Source organism: Homo sapiens, chromosome 16, assembly GCF_000001405.40.
Source record: "Homo sapiens chromosome 16, GRCh38.p14 Primary Assembly".
In the NCBI taxonomy this organism is placed as follows: Eukaryota; Metazoa; Chordata; class Mammalia; order Primates; family Hominidae; genus Homo; species Homo sapiens.
In genome coordinates this window covers 84,595,094-84,616,318 of record NC_000016.10, presented here as the reverse complement: position 1 = coordinate 84,616,318, position 21,225 = coordinate 84,595,094, and the positions used below count along the sequence as shown (strand labels likewise).

Below are 21,225 nucleotides of genomic sequence, written 5' to 3'. Positions count from 1 at the left end.
ATTTTGGCCAGGCTGGTCTCTAACTTCTGACCTTAGGTGATCTGCCCACCTTGGCCTCTCAAAGTGCTGGGATTACAGGCGTGAGCCACTGCGCCCGGCCGACGGTGTGGGTTCGAATCCCTGAACGGCTGCTTCCTGGCTGTGTGGTTTGGAACGAGTTCCTTAATCTCTGGGGGTCTTGGTTTCCTCACCTGCACTCTCACAGTGCTGTTGCGAGGATAAGTGAGTCAGTATGTATAAAATGCTCAGAACAGTGCCTGTACAAGCTACATGATTGTTTGCGAAATAAATAAAAAGTACAAAATTGTGCCAGGGATCATGTGGGTGTTTCTTTCCTTAACTGCTTCCATAATCAAATTATATTTTGCATTTAGTTCAATTCAAAGGGTATTTGTGGTGTGACTACTAGAGGATGGGTGATACTGAGAACCCGCGTGCGCGCACACACACACACACACACACACAAAACTAAAATTACTCCTTGAGCGCTGCCTGTAGACATTCATTCATTGCTTTTGTAAACAGTTGGCCTAAAATCGCAGCATAAAGCACTGCAACGATGTGGAGAGTTGGCAGGGCAGGATTTGAACCCAGGCCTCCGTCCCTCCGCCTCTGTAGTTGAATGCTTTTGCAAGTGGAGTAAGTGCAAACTCTTAACTTTCTCCCCTCCGGTCCGTGAACAGCCAGGAGAGTCAGCAGTATTTCTGCTTTGCCGGCTCTGAGGCTATGCTTTACAGACCAGCTTCCCTCCCTAAATTCAGCTTCTTTCCTCCCGCTGGTCACCCATCCCTCCCTTCCCCCATCAAACCATGTTCTGCCTCTGAAGCTACTGTTCTCTCCAGCAAGTAGAAGGGGATGAGGAAAAGAGCATCCATCCCATCAGGAGGCTCCTGGCAGGTGCTCCCAGGCCTCAGCCCACTCTGGTGTAGTGGGAGAACACTTCCCTCCTCCCACAGGCTTGTGGTTTTCTGCTCAGACCCACCTCCTGCCCCCCAGGGATGGGAGTGGGGAGTGGCGCGTGTCTGGCGAGGAAGCTAAAAATGCTTCCCTGCTGTGTGTGGATCCTCATGAATGGGCCATGGGAGCTTCAGCTGCAGTGCTTTCTTTCCCCAGCCATCTGTTGGACAAATGCATAGGAGAATTATGGTTGCCGTGTCTGCTCTTGTTCCTCTCGGAAACGCTTGTTCCTTCCTGTCGTCGTGTCCTCATAACCCAGGGACAATGGACTCAACACTGGCACTGGCTGGATAGCAGTCACCACGCTCGACGTGCCTTATCTTGGTCATACCTCAGAACAGCCTGGTGTGGCAGGTACTAAGGTTACTCCTATTCTACAGATGAGGAAACGGAGGCCCAGAGAGGTTAATAGGCTTCCTGCATTCACCCAGCTAGAAAGTGGCAGAGTTGGGACTTGAACCCAGGCAGGCTGGCTCGGGGCAGGTGCTCTTGGCTTCTGAGGAGGTTGTTTAGATTCTCACCTCTCGTGGGATTGCTTGCAGGTTGCAAATGACATGGTTGCCCACTTGTGACTCAGAGAGGGCTCTTTTGTGGCCCCAGTTCCCTGCCAGGTATCCTGACAGGCCTGAGAAGAAAGGTTCCACTCTGGTTCGGGCTTCCTGCTTCCAAACATCTCACAAGGTGGCCAGCAGACTTGGAAGGCCAGAAACAGCACCCAGTTTCTTCCTTATAACCTCAGGGTGTGGGCCTTCCTGGGGTCCTGCTCTTCTCCCAACCCTCCCCACTCTGGCACTCAGGCATTCTCTCTGAAACACCCCCTTCCCTGGCCCTCCCACCTCAGGCTACTGTCCCTTCTCCCCTTCCTCCCCCACGGCTTTCCAGAATGGGATCTCTCCACCCAGCCTCCCCTCCTCATTTCTTCCCAGCCTCCTGGCCTGGCCTTTCCTCCCTCAGAGCTGTTTTCCAGAGGGCCACGGGGTGTCTGTGCTGCCAGGCCAGTTCCCTCCCACCCCCGCACTCATCCTCCCAATCTTTCTGCCTGCTCTGGGTCTGCGCTGCTTCTTCCCGAGCTTGCCTGGCTCCCGGCCTTCCTCGCTGCCTGCCCCTCCGCTACCTCCGCTCTTGCTTCTTGCTCCATAGCTCAGTTCGCCTGGGATGGTCAGAGACCTTGCGAGGGCGGTGAGAAATGCCCAGTGCAGATTAATGTAAGCAGAAAATCCACTGTGGCCTCTAGCCTGGAAACTCCAGGGGAAGTCCTAGCAGCAGCAAAGACTGCCCGAACTCCAAACAGCCTCTCCTCCTCCTCCTAGCTCTGTCTTCATCCTTCACCTCCATTCTTGCGGGGAGGGGGGAGGTTTAGCCCCTGGGCAGAGCCATCTTGGTGGAAAGACGGAGCAAGCCTCTTTGCCAGTGATTTTGGGGGTCCCTGGACTGTCTTTGGCCCTGAGGTCATGTGCCCATCCCTAGACCAATCATGGAGACTCTGCGTGGCCAGGCCTGGATCACATGCCCACCTCTGGAGTGGGTGGGGGGCGGGGCAGCCCCACTCAAACCAGGAGACTGACTTGAGGAGGTGGCTTCCTAGGGAAGAATGGCATGCCACTTTCACAAAAGTGTCCATTTGCCCCTTAACATCTCTGCTTTCCTCTTCATAGCAACAGTCTATTTGCCCTTAATCTTCCTTGTCTGGTATCCACTCTGTCCTCCCTTGCTGGGGTAATTCTTTCTACAGTACATTTCTAATCAAGTCACTCCTCTGCTCATTAACCTTCTATGGCTCCCTTCTGCCCCATTGGATTACACTCATGCTGTCTGCTTGGCTTTCTAGTCGGTTTGTCCCCACCCATATCTCCTCTCTAGTAGCTCCACACACCCTCCCTCACACATCTGCAGCCCAACACTGTAACATTTCCCGTCTTGGTGCTTTTGATTTTGGAGGTTTCTACCATGCGGTATTCCTCTTCCCCATCTCAACTCATTTAGGACTCAGCCACCCACCTAGCTTAGTGTGATTCCTTCTTCATTTCAACTCTGAGTACACTTTGGAATCAGAAACACTCTAGTCCGGGCGCCGTGGCTCATGCCTGTAATCCCGGCACTTTGGGAGGCCAAGGCAGGTGGATCACTTGAGGTCAGGAGTTCGAGACCAGCCTGGCCAACACAGTGAAACCCTGTCTCTACTAAAAATACAAAAATTAGCCAGGCATGGTGGCCGGCGCCTATAATCCCAGCTACTCGGAGACTGAGGCGGGAGAATCACTTGAACCCAGGAGGCAGAGGTTGCAGTGAGCCGAGATCGCGCTGTTGTACTCTAGCCTGGGCAGCAGAGTGAGACTCTATCTCAAAAAAAAAAAAGAAAGAAAGAAAGAAAGAAAGAGTCATTCTAGATTGACATCTCCGCTCTGCTTCTCACTCATTGTGTGTGTGGCCTTGGGCAAGTGCCTCCCTCCCTCTGTGCCTCAGTTTTTAGGTCTGTAAAATGGGAATCCTGACATGCCTACCTCTGAGGGTGACTGGGAGGGTTCACTGAAGTAATGCACCTAAAATGAGAGCACAGGCCACGGTGTGTGTTGGCTACCCCTACCACTGCTTTTCTTTTTTTTGAGACAAAGTTTTTCTCTGTCGCCCAGGCTGGAGTGCAGCCTCTGCCTCCCGGGGTCAAGAGATTCTCCTGCCTCAGCCTCCCAAGTAGCTGGGACTACAGGCATGTGCCACCACACACGGCAAGTTTTTGTATTTTTAGTAGAGACGGGGTTTCACCATGTTGGCCAGGCTGGTCTCAAACTCCTGACCTCAGGTGATCCACCTGCCTCAGCCTCCCAAAATGCTGGGATTACAGGCGTGAGCCACCGCGCCCGGCCTCAAATAATTATTTTTACTCTGATAGCACTCGTAGAGGCATTATGCTTTCCACTCGGAAGCTTTCAGTACACGTCCCCACTCAGCACAAAGTAGGCACCTGGCCCAGGCTGGTATGCAATAGGCATTTGGCCCCATGTGGACACGCATTAGACCCTTGGCCCGGGTCTGCATGAAGGAGCATGATGAGAGGTGCTTAGCTCAGTAGTTCAAGGTTTGGGTTTTGTCCGATTGCCTGGGTTCAAATACCTGCCATTCATGTGCTCTGGAGCAGGTGAGTTACCCATCTGGTAACCTGCTACAGTGTGGTCATTAGGAGGATTAAGGAAGCAAGTCCTTATGCTGCTTGGGACATAGTGAGCACTCCATAAATGTCAATTACTGCGATTGCCATTTTTGTTTTTGGAATTCAAGTGATGTGGAAGTAGCGTTCAAGAGCACCAAGAAGATGGAAGGGGGAGAGATGATGGGAAGGAAATGGGTGCTGAGCTGGGCTGGAGGGTCACAGGTTCACCTGACAGAGCCACTGGGAGCCTGGAGCAATCAGGGCTCAGCTGGCAGAGGTGGAGGGAAAGGGGCCATTTGCCAGACCGGTTGTATGATCTACCTGGCCACAGCAGAAAGGGCTTACAGATCACGTATGTGTGGCGAGGCAGTGGCTGGGGCTGTCTGTGAAATCACATTTTGTTTCTGCACCATTCAGATAATACATATTCTCTGTGGCATACTCATAAAGCAAGACTAAACCAAAAGAAGAGAATACCAAGTAGATATAGTTCAGATATAGTTTTGCAAACACTCAGGAACTTGTTCCTTCCTGTGTTTATTCCTTCATTCTCCTGTTTATTCATTTAATTCATTCGACATATGGGACTGCTACTCTGTGGGGCACGACTGTAGGCACTGAGGATAAATACAGAAGCAGAAAAGGCGCCTGTCCTCGTGGAGCTGACATTTTATTGTCATCTCCCAGGACAGACCGCTGGTCTCATTTTTATCTATATTCTTGAAATAGTTTTCTGTATGTAATTCTACTACAAAAGGGGATCATAGATATTTTAGAGCCACCTCCCACAACAACTGTAATGCCAAAGTTTCTTCCCTATCTTCCCCTCTTCTTCTGCAATACCAGTTTAAAAATGGCTACGTAGTTTCTCTCATACAAATGTGACATTGTTAAAGCAATCCTCTATCCATGGACCTCAAATTATGTGTTGCAAGCAGTTTTATTTTAGAAGGAATCCAGGCATCTGGGAATGAGTCCAGTTTTCTGTTGGTGCAGATTTTAGAGCTGATTGGTTAAGAGCATCAGTGGTGAGGCTGGGGCGTCTTGCTTTGAACGATAGCCTTGCTGTGCTGTGTGACCTTGGGCAGATCTCCCAGGGTCTGTGTTTTCTCGTCTGTAAAGGTGGGGATAATGATTGCATGTAGGTTGCTGTAAGGATAAACTGGCTTGTTCCATATAATGCTTGTAGAGTACTGCCTGACACAGAGTAAAGCTCAATAAATGTGGTTATTGTTAAAGTAGCACCTTCAGAAGGTGTTACATATCAATGGATAGGTTGAAATAAATTTGAGATGTGGGGTGGTTACCAGAAAAGGCTTCTTCATGAAGGGCAGCATCATGAAGATGCTTGGTTGGAGGCAGGTGCCCTGTGACATTTGTTGGATGATGGTCTGGGTGGAGATGATATTCCCATGAGGCTCTGGTCAGCCAGTAGTGTTTAACCCAAAACACCACAGAGAGAGATGTAGAGATTGATGTTTTTTTTTCTGTCCAGCATTCCCTCCTTTGGGGGAACCTCTCCCTTCCATTTCATAATAATCCTGGTCAACCAATGTAGTTCCTGTGAGAGTGCACATAACCCAGACCTGTCCAATCAGAGCAAGCCACTCTTCTGCTAACCGATTGGTTCAAGGGCCCTTGTGACTCAAATCTAGCCAATCAGATTCATCCCTGAGACTTTGGACAGAGTTGTTGGTAAAGAGTCTTTTTATCTTTCTCTGGGATTAAAACAAATAAGAATAATGAGGGCTTGGAGCTCACAGGGCATGTCTACCATTTATAGAGAGTACCTGTCTGAGAACTCAGGAACAGAGCCTGGTGGTGGGAGTGGAGACAGGTGACGTGCCAGAAAACTCTGGGATCCAGCCATGCCTGAAGCTTTCTCTTTAGACGGTTCACTTTCATGAGCCAAGTAATATTTTTTCTCAGGCCAGTGTGAGTGGGTTCTGGATTTAGTTTCCATCTAAAAGAGTCCTGGCCATAGTCTCCAGGTTAGGCAGCTGGACACAGTCTCAGAGGAGAGGAGAATCCAGGCTGGACAAGGAATTTAAAGCCTCTCATGTGAGAACTGACTGAGGAAATTGGGCATATTTAACCTTGTGAGACCAAGAGGAGAGATCCTTGGGAGACACCAGTGTTGTCTTCAGATGTTTGAGGGGCTGTCATGTGGTAAGTGTGGACTTCTTGTGTTCCTACCCCCACACCAACCCTATGTGGTAAATGGGACCACGCAGTAGGAATTCAGGGATAGTGTGTTAGTCTCTTCTCACGCTGCTATGAAGAAATACCCGTGACTGGGTAATTTATAAAGAAAAGAGGTTTAATTGGCTCACAGTTTTGCATGGCTGGGGAGGCCTCAGGAAACTTACAATCATGGCAAAAGGGGAAGCAAACACATCCTTCTTTACGTGGCAGCAGGAGACAGACTGAGAGCCAAGTGAAGGGGGAAGCCCCTTATAAAACCATCAGTTTTGTGAGAACTATCACCAAAACAGTATGGGGGAAACTGCCCCCCTGAGTCAATTATCTCCACCCCGTCCTGCCCTTGACACTTATTACAATTCAAGGTGAGATTTGGGTGGGAACCCAGAGCCAAACCATATCAGATAGATTTTGGGTTGACCTGGAGAGGAAGAGGCCCTTAAGGTAGAACGGGCTACCAGAGGAGAAAGTGAGGCCCCCATCACAGGAGGTATGTCAGGAGAGTCCGACTAACCACTTGGCATAGATGTTGAAGAAAGGATTGAAGGAGGCCTTCCTTGCCTCTGCACTCTCCTGTCTCACAGCCCCATTTTCTGGCCTGCTATGCCTCCAGGAAGACTGACTGGCCTTAGTGCAGGCCTAGGGGATGCCTCTTGGAGGTGGCATCAGCCCTACCTGGATGACAGAGACTGAGAGTGGCAGAGAGGTGGTTCCTACGGAAAACTGGAGTATAGCGACCAAAAGAAGGGAGCTGGAATGCGAAGGAGTCAAATTCACTTGCTGTCCATGACCTCTGCGTATATGGCAATACAACACACAGAGAGCCGGCAGTCTATTTATCGTGCTGTTTTGCACCTGAATATTTTTTCCCTAGCTGAACATACACACCCGGGTTTCAGAAATTTGGGCGAGAAGGGAAGGAGAGAAATTGCTTTCTTTCCTAAGGTCTAAGGGAATGTGACATCAAAAAGAAGCTCCAAATCTGTGACAGGGCTTTGGGCAGTTATAAAGTGCTGAACAGTCTGTCCGTTAATGCATGCGACAAACATTTTATTGGGTTCCTACTTTGCTCCAGAAACAATGTTGGGTTTTTAATTTAATTTAATTTTTGAGACAAGGTCGTGCCCTGTCACCCAGTCTGGAGTGCAGTGGCACGATCTTGGCTCACTGCAACCTCTGCCTCCCAGCTCAGGCGATTCTCCTACCTCAGCGTCTCCAGTAGCAGGGACTACAGGCGCCTGCTACCACGCCTGGCTCATTTTTGTATCTTTTGTAGAGACAGGGTTTCACTATGTTGTCCAGGCAGGTCTCGAACTCCTGGGCTCAAGCGATCCACTTGCCTTGGCCTCTCAAAGTGTTGGAATTACAGGCGTGAGCCACCCCGCCCGGCTGGGTTTTTGTTTTTAAGTGGTACCCTGAAGGGCTGCGAAAACATTACCTTTGTAATTTTCTGCACTATCCAGTCTCCCATTGCCTTCTTTGCCCACAGATCTGTTGCTGGGAGGCCCTGAGCCACGCTGCATAGCTTTTTTGTGTGTCCACAGGGGCGTGGGCTTTGTGGTAGCTCTTTCAGTCTACTGCATGGTGATGTTTGTGCTTTCTTTTCTGTTTGTGGCTGTGTCACCACAAACAGAAAATGATGAAGGATGATAGATGTGTATCTTCCTGGTAAGTACAGTGTCTCAAGTTCAAAAAAAGCATTCCCTAAACACTAGGTGAATTGGGTTTTTGTCCCTTGAAAATATTCAGAAGTTAATGCAAACTTTTTGAAAGCATCCCTTACAGATTTTATAGGTGTTATAAATACCTCCTTGTCTCCCATCCTTTCTTTACCCCATTTCATTCTGGTGCCCACCCACACCCAGAGCATGGAGCTCTATGTCTAGGTCTTTGGTAAATATTCCAGTTGCCAGATTTAGTGGTCATTTCTTTGTCTCTGATCCACTTTACCTCCCTCCAGCATTTGCCAGTGGCCAGCACCTCCTGAAAAGATAGTCCCCCTCGCTTGTGCTTCTGCTTCTGCGTGGCTAGACTTGCCTAGTTCTCCTTTTATGTCTCTCTCCTGTCATTCTCACTTCCTTCTGCTGCTGCTTCTGCTTCCTGCCCGATAAGTCTAGGCGTTTCTTAGGGCTCCACCCTTGATCATGACCTTGTCTTCTCCGGGACATTTCTCGAGCATCTACTATGCCCCAAGCCCTTTGCCAAGTACTGAGTTGAGTCCTTTCCCTGACCCCAGTGAGCTTGCAGTCCAGGCTAGGGGTGGCTTTCTAACCTTCAGGTCAGATTGCTCCCCCGCCTCCCACTTCCAACACCTTTTCTCCATAAGGTCCAAACGCTCAGACATGACATGGGGTGCCCTTTATGACAGGTGCTGGCCAGCCGACCCCTCCAGTGTGTGTCCCCAACACACACGATGCTGACCTTAGGGATGCCCAAGTCCCAGGCCCTACGTAGGAGCTCTGCGTGTGTTAGTTTATCTAATTTATCTTCTCTCTGAGGGAGTAATGAGCAGAGTGACACCCACAAGTAGAAATTATCCCCACTTCACTGAGGAGGAACCTGACATTTTCCTTGGAGAGCCAGAGTCGCTTGCTGGAGATGCTGCAGTTGGGAAGAACTGCACTTTGAATCCAGATCTGTGTCCGAGGCTCTCAGCTCTTCCCCTGTGCCGCGCTGGCCTGCCTTCCCGCTTCCCTAGGCCTGTGGACTCTCTTCCCTCTGCCTGCACTGTCTTCATCTGTTTCGCCTTCCTGGAGGACTCCTACACACCCGTCAAGGCCCGGTGTGAATGTTCCCTCTGCTCGGATGCCCTCCTTGTCTTTGTGGTGTTGGTGTCCCGTATGGTGGTCGTGTGCATGTCTGTTTCTTCAACTCCTTGGCGAAGTCCTCCTGGAGAGAGGGACTTTGTCCCTTTGGTGGTGGTATCCTTGGCGGGGAATCCCCATCCTTCATGGTTAGATGGCTGCCAATCTCTTTCCCCCATGGGTGTGTTGCTCCCTTGAGTGGGCCCAAGTCATGGGCTGAATCCTGGGTCATAGGCTTTTCCCAGCACGTGCTGGCTGTCCACTCCTTTGTCTCTTGCTTATAGAAGAGAACCCGTAATGCCTGGGTTCAAATTTCAGCTCTACTTCTTATGGGCTGTAGGCGCCTGGGACAGAATCCTACAGTTACTGCTGTGGGCACCTGGGACAGAATCCCTCAGGGACCCTAAGAGGAACATGGAGGGTGCAGCCCTGGGAGGCGGGGGCACGTAGCCACCGACTCTTATCCCCCATTGGTTGAGGGGTCCTTTAGGGGCTTTAGGGTTTCTGCACTCCAGGCTGTGCCTCTGTGAGGTTGAGCAGCTAGACGTGGCAGGATGTCATGGTGTACCCAAGTGGCTACGCCCACTACCACTGAAACCAGACATGGCCTTGGAGAAGGTGACAAGGAGTCAAAAAGCATCTCCTTGCAGCATTTAGCAGTGCCTAAGATCATAGCCACATGTGCAGTTATGCACCTGTTTATCTTGTGACTTTCCTGGGAGCATCCAAGCCCCGTGGGGCAACCAGGTCAGCTTTGTTCTCTGCAGTATTGGCAGCGCTGGGAACAGTACCTGGCAGCCTGCACAGATGTTGTTGAGTAGGCAAATGAGTGACAGTCCATGTAGATGTCTGAGAGCTAAGCTCACACAGGAGGGCCCGCCGTCCCCTCCTCCAAAGTAACAGCCCAGTGGCCCACAAGGCTCCCGGCCGCTACCACTGGCCATGTGACTGCTCTGGCCCCAGGCCTCTTACTCCAGAGCCCAGGCATCGCCACCTTCCTCTCCCACTTAAGCAAGTGCCTGTGACTTTTCTGATTCAGCTCAGTGGCCTCAGCAGTGGCAGGTCCCCAGAGGCTGGTTTTTGAAGGCAGGCATGGCACGTCAGCATTTAATATTTTATTTCATGAGTGCATTTTGAAATTAACCTGCCATAGATCTTGTTTTTAGTTCTGTACTTAGTTTATGGTCATCACGCTTTTCTTCATGCACTTATTCTTACTTTGTCTTCTAGGTACTTAGGTAAGCTTCCTTGCGAGCAATAAATAAATAAGTTGATAACAACAATGGTTAACAGTGGACCTTTATTAGGCCAGGCATTAGCCAGGGTCATTGTGTTACTTTCCTATGGCCACTGTAACAAATGACCACAAACTTGGTGAATTAAAACAACATAAATGCATCATCTTATAGTTCTGCAAGTCAAAAGTCTGACATGAGCCTCACAGGACTAAAATCCAGGTGTGGACAGGGCTGCTTTCTCCTGGAGGCTCCAGGGGAGAATCCATTTTCTTGCCTTCTTGTGCTTCCAGAGACTGCCTGCATTCTTTGGCTTGTGGCCACTTCCTCTGTCTTCAAAGCCAGTACTGGCAGGTCGAGTCCTCATGATGCCAGCTCTCTGGTTCTGGCCCTCTTCCCCACCCTTCCCCATTTAAGGACTGCAGTGATCACGTGGGTGTCACCCAGATAACCCAGGAGAATCTCCCATCTCAGGATCCTTACCTTAACCACACCCTCAAAGCCCTTTTGCCATGTGAGGGACATATTCACAGTTTTGGGGTTTAGGACATAGATGTCTTAGGGGCCGTTGTTTTGCCTGCCGCAGTCACTTGTGATTTCATTTAATATGCCCAGTGACCCAGCATCGCGGGCCCTGTTGTTATCCCATTTCACAGCCGAGGCAGTACGCAGGCCAGGCTGCAATTCTTACCTGGCGTGTGTGCTTCTCGCCCCCACTCCTGACACCCCCTGCACCCCAGCTTGCAATGTAAAATCTTTGTGAAACAAGAAGGGAAGACCACGGGAGGCTCTTCTGTGGAACACCGTGGGGCAGACCTAAGGCCCAGGCCCAGGCCATGGGGGGCCGTGGGAAGTGTTTAGAGGCCACTGTTGTTTAGAGGCCATTTCTGCCATTGTTGTTGACACAGAAAGCCTGTGCGTGTGTCTGGGGAGCAATGCTCCTTAATTCCTGAACCCGAGTGTTCCCTCCTGCCCTGGAGAGACTTTCCCAGGAAATCCCGATTTCCCTACTTTTGCCTGCAGGGCTCGCCTTTGGAGGTCTGCTCTGACCCGGAAGCACTTTTCTCCCCGTTTCTGGCTAGAATTCTACGCTGCTTATAAAATGGAGTGTATTGTTCATGGCTTGCAAATAAAAGCTGCTGCTGCTTCAGGCGGGCCAGGGGTCAGCTGGAGCTGGGGGAGGGGTGAAAAGAACCTGGCTTGAGATGCAAAGAGCCAGGCTCCTGGCGGCCCCTGTGTGACCCCTACAGCCACAGCCCCCTCTGGGCCCCTGCCTAACAGAGGGACAGAGAGAGGGCTGTGTCCACCCTGCAGCTCTCTGGATTTGGCCAAACCTGGCTGCTGTGTGGCCCATTCTTGGGAACACCACACTCTCTTCCTGGGTGACTTTGGTCACTCATCCCCCCAACACATATAAACTGAGCACTCACGGTCTGCTGGGCACTCGTGCTGGGAGAGCTCAGTGGGGTGCATCACCATGCACAACCTTGTGAATGGACCGAAACCCACTGAAATGTCCACTTTCACAGGGTGCAGTTCATGCTGTGTAAATAATATCTTAGGATGAAAAAGCATAAAGAAAAAAGGAGGATGAGGCTCCTGGGTGGGCAGGAGGACAGGAACCTAGTAGGGCCATGGGGTGGGGGCCGTGGGAGGGGAGCGTGGGTGGGGAGTGAGGGTGGAGAGCAGGGGGTGAGGGCTGTGGAGGGTGAGTGTGGGGTGGGGAGCAGGGGGTGGGGACCGTGGCATGAGGGCTATGGCCGGTGAGTGTGGATGGGGAGCGCAGGGGTTGGGGAGTAGGGGGTAGTGTAGGTGGGGGCCATGGGGTGAGGGCTGTGGAGCAGGGAGCATGGGTGGGGAGTGGGAGGGGAGCATGGGTGAGAAGGCGGTTGGGGAGTATGGGGTTGGGCCGTGGTGGGGCAGCGGGAGGGAGAGGGGAGTTGCGGGGGTAGTAGGGAGTGGGGAGCATGGGGTGGGGGCCATCAGGGAGGGAGGTGGGTGGGGAGTGGCGGGTAGAAAGTGGGGGGAGGTGGGTAGCTGGCAGGGCCCAGGGTGCAGTGGCCCCGGGAGCCATGTGAGGCCTCTGGGTTTTCCTGGAGCAGTGCGCATTTTATTCTGATCACTTTTGTTTCATGTCCTCCTAGAACTTTGCCTTGGCCCTTTCTGTGGCTCATTCCCAGCTGGGCAGGGTCTTATTCTGCCACTTCTTCTGGGTCCCCAGGCATGATGCGCCAACCCCACAGGCCCTGAGCAGCCCTTTTCCCTGAGCACAGCCCTGCCTCTCCCCTCTGAACTCCCGGCTCCCCCACTGCCTCCATTCGCTTCATAGTCTGTTGCCATTGTCACCGTTGGTCCCAAGGCCGCCTTGTCCTTATCATCCTCACCTAGCGCTTCCCAACACTTCCTGTGTGCCAGGCCCGATTCCCAGGGCATCACCCCCTCAGCTGGCTGATGAGGATCAACGTGCTGTGTCACCGATGAGGAGACCTCCAGGGGGAGGCTTGCTGGTCCCCTGGGCTCTCAGTGGGTCCCCCTGTGTTTACGGCAGAGCTGTGACGCCGTGTTGTACCCACGGCCGGGTTTCCAGTGTGTTCACTCAGAGCCTGGCGCAGAGCCCTGGCTGAGTCACACTTCGTTGCCTCAGTCCTTTGGGAAGAGGGGAGGTTCTGCCTCGGATGTTGCATGGGGTAATGAATAAGTGAATCCGTAGAAGAGTAAAGTGAGTCAGCTGTCCCCGTGGGGGCTGGTGTGCGCAGGCTTGCGGGCTGGAGTGTTGTTAAAGTCCACGGGGAAGGAAAACTGGCTGCGAGTCTGCCCCCACCAACCAGGGGCTCCCAGGCAGAGATGGAGAGGCCTCCGGGGAACTGGGGGGCAGAGAGGGGAAGTCGCTGGGCCATTGTTACATGGGAGGAAAGGGGCAGAGCCAGGACCTGAACCCTGGTCTCCAGGCTCTCATGCCGCTGAGGTTTCAAGCCAGCTGCGTCCCTCTGGGCTACCGTTCTTGGTGCATGTGAAAGGTGGAGAAGCAGCTTCCTTGTTACGCAGGCATCACTGACTCTGGCATCGCTGACTCCAGCAACACTGCCTTTTTGGCCTTCCCTTTCCATGCACTTTTTTTTTTTTTTGAGATGAAGTCTCTGTCGCCCAGGCTGGAGTGCAGTGGCATGATCTCAGCTTACTGCAACCTCTGCCTCCTGGACTCAAGCAATTCTCCTACGTCAGCCTCCCGAGTAGCTGGGATTACAGGTGTGCACCACCATGAATGGCTAATTTTTGTATTTTTAGTAGAGACAGGGTTTTGCCGGGTTGGCCAGGCTGGTCTCGAATTCCTGAGCTCAAGTGATCTGCTCGCCTTGGCCTCCCAAAGTGCTGGGATTACAGGCATGAGCCACTGCGTCTGGCCACATGTGCTTTTATTAAACCACAAATTTGTCAAAACAAATCAGTTGTTATGTCTGTCCATATCCATTCGTTCCTGCCTGTCTATTCATTCCTGCTCTCTGGGGGTGGAAGTCACACTTTAAAAATCCTGACAAAGAATTGGTTTTATTCTTTTTTTTTTTTAATTAAAAGAAAAAAAGTTTTTTGAGACAGAGTCTCACTGTGGCCCAGGCTGGAGTGCAGTGGTGCGATCATAGTTCACTGCAGCCTCAACCTCCTGGGCTCAAGCAATCCTCCTGCCTCGGCCTCCCAAAGTGTTGGGATTACAGGTGTGAGCTGCTGTGCCCATCTGCTTGGTTTTACTCTTATAAAATGGCACCCCCCCCACCCCCATTGAACTGAAACGCAGCTGCAAATTTGGAACTGAAAAGCCTCTGAGAAGTCAAAGATGCCATGTAGATGCCCTTCATTTATTCGGGAAGTATGTATTGAGTACATGTGGGGCATCGTCTGGGTGCTTTGGATGTGCTAGGGAACGAGATTCCTTCCCTCCTGGAGTAGGGCTGAGCAAGCTGAAGGAGGCCTGTAGCTCATTCTGAGCCTTTAAGCTCTTAGTTTGCACACAGTTATCATCAGCTGCATCATATGCCCTTCTGGCTTGTGGTGAGTCGGAAAAAGAGAGAAGGGCTGGTGGAGGAAGGCGTTTTGAACTTGCCAGCAGAGGCTGTTGCTTTGTCTGGAGTTCTGTCACAATCTCCCTCTCAAATTGTCAACAAGAACCCTCTTTGTCCTTACCCTGTTCTCTGGAGGAACTCTGAGTCATCCTTCAAGACCCTGATCAGGATGGGTGCGGTGGCTTATGCCTGTAGTCCCAGCACTTTGGGAGGCCAGGATGGGGGGATCACGAGGTCAAGAGTTCGAGACCAGCCTGGCCAACATGGTGAAACCTGGTCTATATTAAAATACAAAAATTAGCTGGGTGTGGTGGAGCGTGCCAGTAATCCCAGCTACTCGGGAGGCTGAGGCAGGAGAACTGCTTGAACCCGGGAGGCGGAGGTTGCATGAGCCGAGATTGTGCCCCTGCACTCCAGCCTGGGTGACAGAGCAAGACTCCGTCTCGGGGGGATAAAAGAAAAAGACCCTAATCAAACATCACCTCCTCTGCAAAGCCAGTCCTGGTCACAGCTGCCCAGGCAGAGCGGATTTCCTTCTTTCCTTGATGCTCCTGTAACTGCCAGTCACAACTCTTTGCCATAGCAGTAATTTCATGGTATTCACACACTACATTTTTGTTTGCTATGGTAGACTGTATATTTTTTGAAGGTAGGGATTGCATTTTCAGCAAAATCCCTGTATCACAGATTGTCAGTAAGTGTTTGTCAAATAACCAACCCACAGCGATGGAAGAGGCAGCACAACAGTGAAAAGCAGACACAAGAGTATAAAGCAGTGTGTGCCAGGGCTGTTCAGTGATTGGGAGCCAGACGCTGAACCCCTCAGTGGCGCAGCGTCTCCTTATAGATGCTATAGATACTGTAATAAGGTCCTCAGAGCCTCCAGGGACTGCTTTACAGCCACTCTTCTCTAAGTCAGAGGGTGGAGTCAGGTCTAACACACTAACTCCCATTTAAGGAAGTAGAGAATTATCATGAAAGAAAGTGCTAGTGCTTTGTCATAGGGGGAAAACCTTTAGCTCTCGGTTTAATTTGGGTATCCAGATCAGCTTATACCCTGGAGGTTCTGCCGAAGTAATCATCTTTCTTTTCCTCTGGCCATCCTGTACTTCATTTTCTTATGTTCTCTGTCAAGCTAGGAAAGCTGGGTCATTCACACCTAGTGAAAATGCAATGAATCGGGGATCATTTGAGGAGTCTCCTGCGTGGGATATCAAACCGCATTTACAGTGTGAGCTCCAATGCAGAAACAATGTGCCTACACGCAGATACCCACACAATGCGGATCACATAAAGAAACAGAGCCTTGGCCGGGCGCAGTGGCTCGCGCCTGTAATCCTGGCTCTTTGGGAGACTGAGGCGGGCAGTTCACCTGAGGTCAGGGGTTCGAGATCAGCCTGGCCAACACGGTGAAAGCCCGTCTGTACTAAAACTACAAAAATTAGCCGAGCATGGTGGCAGGTGCCTGTAATCCCTGCTATTCAGGAGGCTGAGGCAGGAGAATCGCTTGAACCCAGGAGGCGGAGGTTGCAGTAAGCTGAGATCGTGCCACGGCACTGCAGGCTGGACAACAGAGCGAGATTTCGTCTCAAAAAAAAAAAAAAAAAAGAGCCTTTATTCATGCCCTATAAGGAATAAACCAAAAGGAGTTTAGAAATAAACAGAGTAATGGGTTTCAGTTTTTACACTTTTTAATACTTTTGCAAAGTTTTTTGAGCAGGACAGGAGGGTGTTTTTGGTTTGGTTTTGTTTTTGTCAACTGCAGGGAGTTACGAAAGTCACTCTGAAAAAAGACAGCAAGTGGTATAGTGATATCAGGCCTCTTAGTAATGAGAGCTCTCCCTTCAACTTCAGCAACGAACCTGGCCCCTTCCAGCCCCAGCCTCAGGCCCCCTCCCTCTTACAGACGTGGGCGGCCACTGAGCCCTCCTTCCTCTTTGGTGGCAAGAAGACATTTCTCCTTCCCCAGCCTTGCCCTCTCTCCCCTTAGCAGCCTGCTAGAAGCCAGCCGCTGCCATGGCGACTGCCCAGCTGTCCCCTTGCTCTGGGCAGCAGGATGTAAGAATTCTTTCCCATTTCCTTTCATCCTCGCTCCAGGGAGCTCCCTCGGTGGAAGCTGACAGCTCAGCTTTTTGGTGTGTGGGTTGTTTTTTCCCTTCCTGAGCCGTGTTTGCATAACCTCTCCGGAGTCTCTGTAAAGTTAGGGCAGCTTTAGAGTGAGCTGCAATCTTGCCGCTCTCTGGGGCAACTTCCTCCTGTCCTCCCCTTCCCCCTTTCTTTGGCCTTGCTCTAAAGTTCAGTGTTGGGTGGAAATTCTGAAATGATTCTTTTTTCTTTCCATTGGCCCACAGATAACGTATAAGGTGCCTATGACATGCCTGGCATGGTGATCAGTGCTGGGGCCATAACAAGACCCAGACAGATGTGAAAGTAGCTGAAAAGATCCAAAGGACTTACGCTAAAAAGTTTCTAGGGTGGTGGGGGATCCTTAATTTCTTCATTTTGCTTTTTTGTGTTTCTCATTATTCTACACCTAGTATGTGTTTTTGTAATGAAAAAAGGTTGTTCAAAACATTTGCAAAAGTGTTAAGAAAGTTACACAGTGCTCGACCCATAGCAGATCCTCCTTCCTCGGGGGTTTGGTCCTCCAGCCAGGACTGGCTTTGGCGATACGCAGAGGAGACTAGAATCTCTTTGGGGAAAAGGCAGAGGCCCCCAGTCAATGTGGATCCTGGGTGGGGGCCGCCCTGGTGAGAACACTGGGTGCCTGGTCAGAATCTCTTCCTCAGTGCTGACCTGAGCCTGAGATTTCAAGTTTGGGTGGGAGGGGGAAGGGGGGGAGGGGCAAGCCTTCAGAGCTTAGTGGGGACCATATGCCGTTTGTAACTTTTGGGGAGTTATTAGAGCGGCTCATCCTGGTGGCTTTGGTGATTACAGGTAATTCTTGCCTTTACCCCCCTCCCTAGCCCCTTTGTGGTCATCCTCTGTTTCTGTTGTCACTGGGTTTTCTCCCACATCCCCATCCCTTTGACTGCCCAGCAGCTCCAGCCTGATCACCCCCGACCCCGCTTGGACCCCCCCTGCTTGCTCCCCCCCACCCCTGCCGCTTGGTCCCCGCCGCCCCCACTTGGTTCTCCCGCTTGGTCTCCTGCTTGGTCTCCTTGTGTGGTCCTTCCCACCCCCACTGTCTCTCCTTTACCCCCTCTGGCCTTTCCCTGCCCCATCCCTCTCTCTTCCAGAGAGGTCGGGGTTGGTGGGGGGGGTTGGGGGGGAGAAGGGGAGGAGGAGGCACAGATGGGGAGGAGGTGGGAGAGGCGTAAAGGCACCTCCAGGACCCAGGGGAAAGGTCAGAGGAGAGCCAGGAGAGGGAAAGGCCAGAGAAAAGAGCATGTAACAGCCACCAGGGCCGGCTGCTGAGTTCACAGCTCTGCGCCAGGCGGTATCCTGAGAACGTTAGGATGCTGATTTGTTGACACAGATGAACTTACTTAGTAAATGAAGGCAGAGAACCTTGAAGAGATGACCTGGGCATTGGACTGAGGCTCCCTTTACCTACCTTCAGGGCCCTGCCTGGGGCTTCTAGGTCCCCACGGGTCCTTTGCAGGAGCCAAAGCTCCATCATTGGCTTCTGATGAGGCTTCATAGACCAGTGGAAGGAAGGGTCCGGCTCTTTTGAGAGTGAAGTTTTATTAACGTTAAACATAACAGCTGTGTCTTTTCATGAACAAGACTCTCTCTGGGTGGGAAGGGGAGGGCATCCATAGTCTTCAAATCAGGGACATCCAGCGTGCAATTGGCCTGGGCTCTGAGTGCATGACACCGACCAGAAGGAAACCACCGTCCTCAGGATGGGGCTCCTGACCTTGCTGTATCCTCAGTGACGGCAGCCCTGAGATGGGGCTCAGTGTGATGCTATGATATGCATCTGAATCCTCGTGGCTTATGGGCAAGCAGAGGAGCTAGAGGCAGCACAGGCAGAAAGGCCTCCTGGTACCCAGGGCTGATAGTCAGTAGCTCTCTTGCTAATGATGGCTGTTCCCTCTCTTGGGGTGTGGGATTTTGGGGAGGGAGCACTGGAGGGACTGTCCTGGTGGTCTTTGATGGGCGTGCTCAGGAACCACGGACTCTGCAGGAAGCTGCTTCATGCAGTCATTTGCTTAAAATAAAAGGCAGACAGGCAGCAAGGAGGGCGTGGGGGCTGAACTCTGAGCACTTCAGCTTTTCTGTCCTTGAGACCTTTGTCTCGTCCCCTCTCCCAACAGTGAGTTCTCACCATTTCCTCTTCTCCACCTCTTCCTCTAAGTCAGTGGGTCTCAAGGTTTGGCAGCCTCAGAATCACCCTGGGGCTCATTCGAGCACAGTTTCAGAGCTCCACTCCCAGCGTCTGGATCAGTAGGGCTGAGTGGAGCCTGAGTACCCACATTTCTAATAAGTTCCCGGGTGCTGTGGTGCTGCTGGTCCGAGGACCACACTTTGAGAACTGCTGCTGTGGACTTCAGCAGCTCTGCAGCGGGCAGGGAGAATTGTGTGGCTCATTCTCACTTCACCTCTCCAAGCCTCAGTTTCTTCATCTGTGAAATGGGACTGCGATCTGTGCTGCCCTCACAGAGGAGAAGAATCTGCAGTGTGCAGATTCTTAGAGTGGGGACTGGCCCCTCATAAGTGCTTAGTAGACTTGGGGCTCAGTTACCTCTCAGACCTTCACTGTCTTCCATCTCTCCTCAAGAAAGACTCACAGAAGGAGTGACTCCGTGACTGTGTGCCTCGGAGTGCCTCACTCTGAAACCCAGAGCTGGATGCAGAAAGTGGTCCCCATTCTACAGCTGGAACAGCTGAGGCTCAGAGCATGAAGCACCCTCATCTGATGTTCCATAGCTAGAAGGAAGCCGGCTGGGATGCGGCCCCTGCTAGGATGCGGCCCTGGCTGGGATGCGGCCCTGGCTGGCTGATCTCTGGAGTTTGTGCTCTTCTAAGTGCTCCAGATTGCCTTAGCGAACAGTTGTGTGTAAGGGGTGCGAGGTGCCAGGAAATGGCGAGAAACAGAGGGCAGACTCTGTCCACCTTGTTAAGGACAGAGCAGTGGAGAGTTGTGAGGGCAGGGGCTGGTGCGTCAGTGTTCTGTGGTGGTAGCTGAGATCTCCCAGGGAGAGAGTGTCAGGGGAAAGGAGAGGATGAGGTGGAACCCTGGGGAGTGTGTGTGTGGAGACAGAGGGGGTGGAAGAGCCGGGGAGAAAGTAGAAGGCGGGATCAGTGCTCTGAGAACCAAGATGGCACCATGCCCTGGGTGCCGTGGGAAGGGAGAGGTTCAAGGAGGGCAGAATTGATAATGGCGTGAAACGCCACCAGTGGGCATGGAGAAGATGCTGTTGGCTTTGGCAATTAGGAGGCCCCTGTGGACCCCTGAGGGCAGTTTCACTGGAGAGGTGTTGGGGGTCAAAAATCAGCAATGATTCCCATCAGCCAACCCTTCAGATCTCATTTCTTTTTCATGTAATCCTCCCAACCACTTTATGAGGTAAGTATTTGACCCATTTTGTGGATGAGGAAACTGAGGCTTAGAGACATTCAGGACTCTGGGCTGGGTCACAAGGCTAGTACATGTGGGGGTAAGTTTCTAAAGGATTCTGGAATTTGAACTTGCACCCTGGACATTGCAGAGAAGGTTAAGGGTATAGACCACTCCCCTGTGCTGAGGGCTCCAGCAGAAGGAGCTCATGGCATCTGTCTCTGGTACCTGTGTTTGGGTGAAGTCCTGGGTCCCCCGTCCCCCACTGGGGTTGCCCAGTCTCCCTGTCTCCTCTGCGTAGACCTGGACTCTCAGCTTCAGTTTGAAGAGATGGACCATTGGCCCTGTTGGGGACCAAGTGGCACAGTGAGGGTGATGGAAAGCCCAGGTACCAACCTTCTTCTGGGCAGTTTTGCCGTCTTAGTGCATACACACACACATATACACATACATGTATATATAACACACATACACATACACATACATGTATATATATAACACACACATACACATACATGTATATATAACACACATACACAAATACATGAATATATATACACACATATATACACCTGTACTCACAAATGTATGTATATACACACATATACAAACACACCTGTACACATATAGACACATATTATACACACAAATATATGTATATATACACATACACAAATATATACGCACACACATATCACACTAATATATACAGGACAGCGTTTCTCTGTGCCCTTTAGTAGATATGCCAGTGTTCCCGCGTACAGGAGTGACAATAGCCCGACATAGACGAGGGAGCCTAGGGCTCCCCACTGCTGATGTGGGGCTGTGACTGCCACTGGGGTTTGTGGACCCAATTTGTTCAGAAGAGGGAAAGTAACTAAACCAGGGATGAAGAACTAGCGATTCCCCTTCCACTGCCCAGTGTGAGGTCAAAAGGGACCGAGAACCTCCTTCAGGGTGAGCAGGGTTGGGGAGAGGCCTCCAGTCTGCCGGGCAGCTGCAAAAACGGTGCGCAGACCAACAGGTTTTCCGTCTCCGACTCAGCTGACCCGTCACTGTCGTGCCAGATCTCTAGCAGCAAACATTTGTAAGCATAACGTGACTCGGATTTTCAAAAACAGGCCTGTCAGCAATCTTGTTGACCAAACCATTGTCGGATAAGCACGCAGCAGTCACCTAGCAAACCACGTCCCTCTTTACCCCGCTCCCCCACGATCATTTAAATGACATCAGGCTGTGGTTCTGGAAGGTTCCCAGTGTCCTTGGGGTTGTGGGTGTAACTTACTTATTGTACATCTATCTTGTGCCAGGCCCTGGGCTG

General features: G+C 51.5%; 1 protein-coding gene across 1 annotated transcript in view, besides 16 other annotated features; it reads left to right on the top strand.

The window, feature by feature from the left end:
- The window catches only part of COTL1 (coactosin like F-actin binding protein 1), a 52,483-nt gene that overhangs the window by 1,760 nt on the left and 29,498 nt on the right, over nt 1–21,225 (top strand). The window lies entirely within an intron of this gene.
- Nucleotides 1,633–2,132: an enhancer, noted in NCBI's record as "H3K4me1 hESC enhancer chr16:84647793-84648292 (GRCh37/hg19 assembly coordinates)". NCBI's record gives its function as "activates a minimal SCP1, AML or CMV promoter by ChIP-STARR-seq in primed H9 embryonic stem cells {active_cell/tissue: H9 hESC(primed)}" and the evidence as "EXISTENCE:reporter gene assay evidence [ECO:0000049][PMID:30033119]".
- Nucleotides 2,133–2,634: an enhancer, noted in NCBI's record as "H3K4me1 hESC enhancer chr16:84647291-84647792 (GRCh37/hg19 assembly coordinates)". NCBI's record gives its function as "activates a minimal SCP1, AML or CMV promoter by ChIP-STARR-seq in naive H9 embryonic stem cells {active_cell/tissue: H9 hESC(naive)}" and the evidence as "EXISTENCE:reporter gene assay evidence [ECO:0000049][PMID:30033119]".
- Nucleotides 2,760–2,899: an enhancer, noted in NCBI's record as "active region_11251". NCBI's record gives its function as "activates an Ori minimal core promoter by ATAC-STARR-seq in GM12878 lymphoblastoid cells {active_cell/tissue: GM12878}" and the evidence as "EXISTENCE:reporter gene assay evidence [ECO:0000049][PMID:35858748]".
- Nucleotides 9,301–9,350: an enhancer, noted in NCBI's record as "active region_11250". NCBI's record gives its function as "activates an Ori minimal core promoter by ATAC-STARR-seq in GM12878 lymphoblastoid cells {active_cell/tissue: GM12878}" and the evidence as "EXISTENCE:reporter gene assay evidence [ECO:0000049][PMID:35858748]".
- Nucleotides 9,551–9,610: an enhancer, noted in NCBI's record as "active region_11249". NCBI's record gives its function as "activates an Ori minimal core promoter by ATAC-STARR-seq in GM12878 lymphoblastoid cells {active_cell/tissue: GM12878}" and the evidence as "EXISTENCE:reporter gene assay evidence [ECO:0000049][PMID:35858748]".
- Nucleotides 9,771–9,890: an enhancer, noted in NCBI's record as "active region_11248". NCBI's record gives its function as "activates an Ori minimal core promoter by ATAC-STARR-seq in GM12878 lymphoblastoid cells {active_cell/tissue: GM12878}" and the evidence as "EXISTENCE:reporter gene assay evidence [ECO:0000049][PMID:35858748]".
- Nucleotides 12,316–12,880: an enhancer, noted in NCBI's record as "H3K4me1 hESC enhancer chr16:84637045-84637609 (GRCh37/hg19 assembly coordinates)". NCBI's record gives its function as "activates a minimal SCP1, AML or CMV promoter by ChIP-STARR-seq in naive H9 embryonic stem cells {active_cell/tissue: H9 hESC(naive)}" and the evidence as "EXISTENCE:reporter gene assay evidence [ECO:0000049][PMID:30033119]".
- Nucleotides 12,641–12,850: an enhancer, noted in NCBI's record as "active region_11247". NCBI's record gives its function as "activates an Ori minimal core promoter by ATAC-STARR-seq in GM12878 lymphoblastoid cells {active_cell/tissue: GM12878}" and the evidence as "EXISTENCE:reporter gene assay evidence [ECO:0000049][PMID:35858748]".
- Nucleotides 12,891–13,010: an enhancer, noted in NCBI's record as "active region_11246". NCBI's record gives its function as "activates an Ori minimal core promoter by ATAC-STARR-seq in GM12878 lymphoblastoid cells {active_cell/tissue: GM12878}" and the evidence as "EXISTENCE:reporter gene assay evidence [ECO:0000049][PMID:35858748]".
- Nucleotides 12,891–13,196: a biological region, named in NCBI's record as "Sharpr-MPRA regulatory region 4329".
- Nucleotides 12,902–13,196: a silencer, noted in NCBI's record as "tiled region #4329; K562 Repressive DNase matched - State 5:Enh". NCBI's record gives its function as "represses a minimal TATA promoter and a strong SV40 promoter by Sharpr-MPRA in K562 cells {active_cell/tissue: K562}" and the evidence as "EXISTENCE:reporter gene assay evidence [ECO:0000049][PMID:27701403]".
- Nucleotides 15,962–16,111: an enhancer, noted in NCBI's record as "active region_11245". NCBI's record gives its function as "activates an Ori minimal core promoter by ATAC-STARR-seq in GM12878 lymphoblastoid cells {active_cell/tissue: GM12878}" and the evidence as "EXISTENCE:reporter gene assay evidence [ECO:0000049][PMID:35858748]".
- Nucleotides 16,219–17,040: an enhancer, noted in NCBI's record as "NANOG-H3K27ac-H3K4me1 hESC enhancer chr16:84632885-84633706 (GRCh37/hg19 assembly coordinates)". NCBI's record gives its function as "activates a minimal SCP1, AML or CMV promoter by ChIP-STARR-seq in naive and primed H9 embryonic stem cells {active_cell/tissue: H9 hESC(naive and primed)}" and the evidence as "EXISTENCE:reporter gene assay evidence [ECO:0000049][PMID:30033119]".
- Nucleotides 16,346–16,545: a silencer, noted in NCBI's record as "fragment chr16:84633380-84633579 (GRCh37/hg19 assembly coordinates)". NCBI's record gives its function as "represses an EF-1alpha promoter that drives an FKBP-Casp9 reporter gene in an ReSE screen in K562 erythroleukemia cells {active_cell/tissue: K562}" and the evidence as "EXISTENCE:reporter gene assay evidence [ECO:0000049][PMID:32094911]".
- Nucleotides 17,783–18,282: an enhancer, noted in NCBI's record as "H3K4me1 hESC enhancer chr16:84631643-84632142 (GRCh37/hg19 assembly coordinates)". NCBI's record gives its function as "activates a minimal SCP1, AML or CMV promoter by ChIP-STARR-seq in naive H9 embryonic stem cells {active_cell/tissue: H9 hESC(naive)}" and the evidence as "EXISTENCE:reporter gene assay evidence [ECO:0000049][PMID:30033119]".
- Nucleotides 18,283–18,784: an enhancer, noted in NCBI's record as "H3K4me1 hESC enhancer chr16:84631141-84631642 (GRCh37/hg19 assembly coordinates)". NCBI's record gives its function as "activates a minimal SCP1, AML or CMV promoter by ChIP-STARR-seq in naive H9 embryonic stem cells {active_cell/tissue: H9 hESC(naive)}" and the evidence as "EXISTENCE:reporter gene assay evidence [ECO:0000049][PMID:30033119]".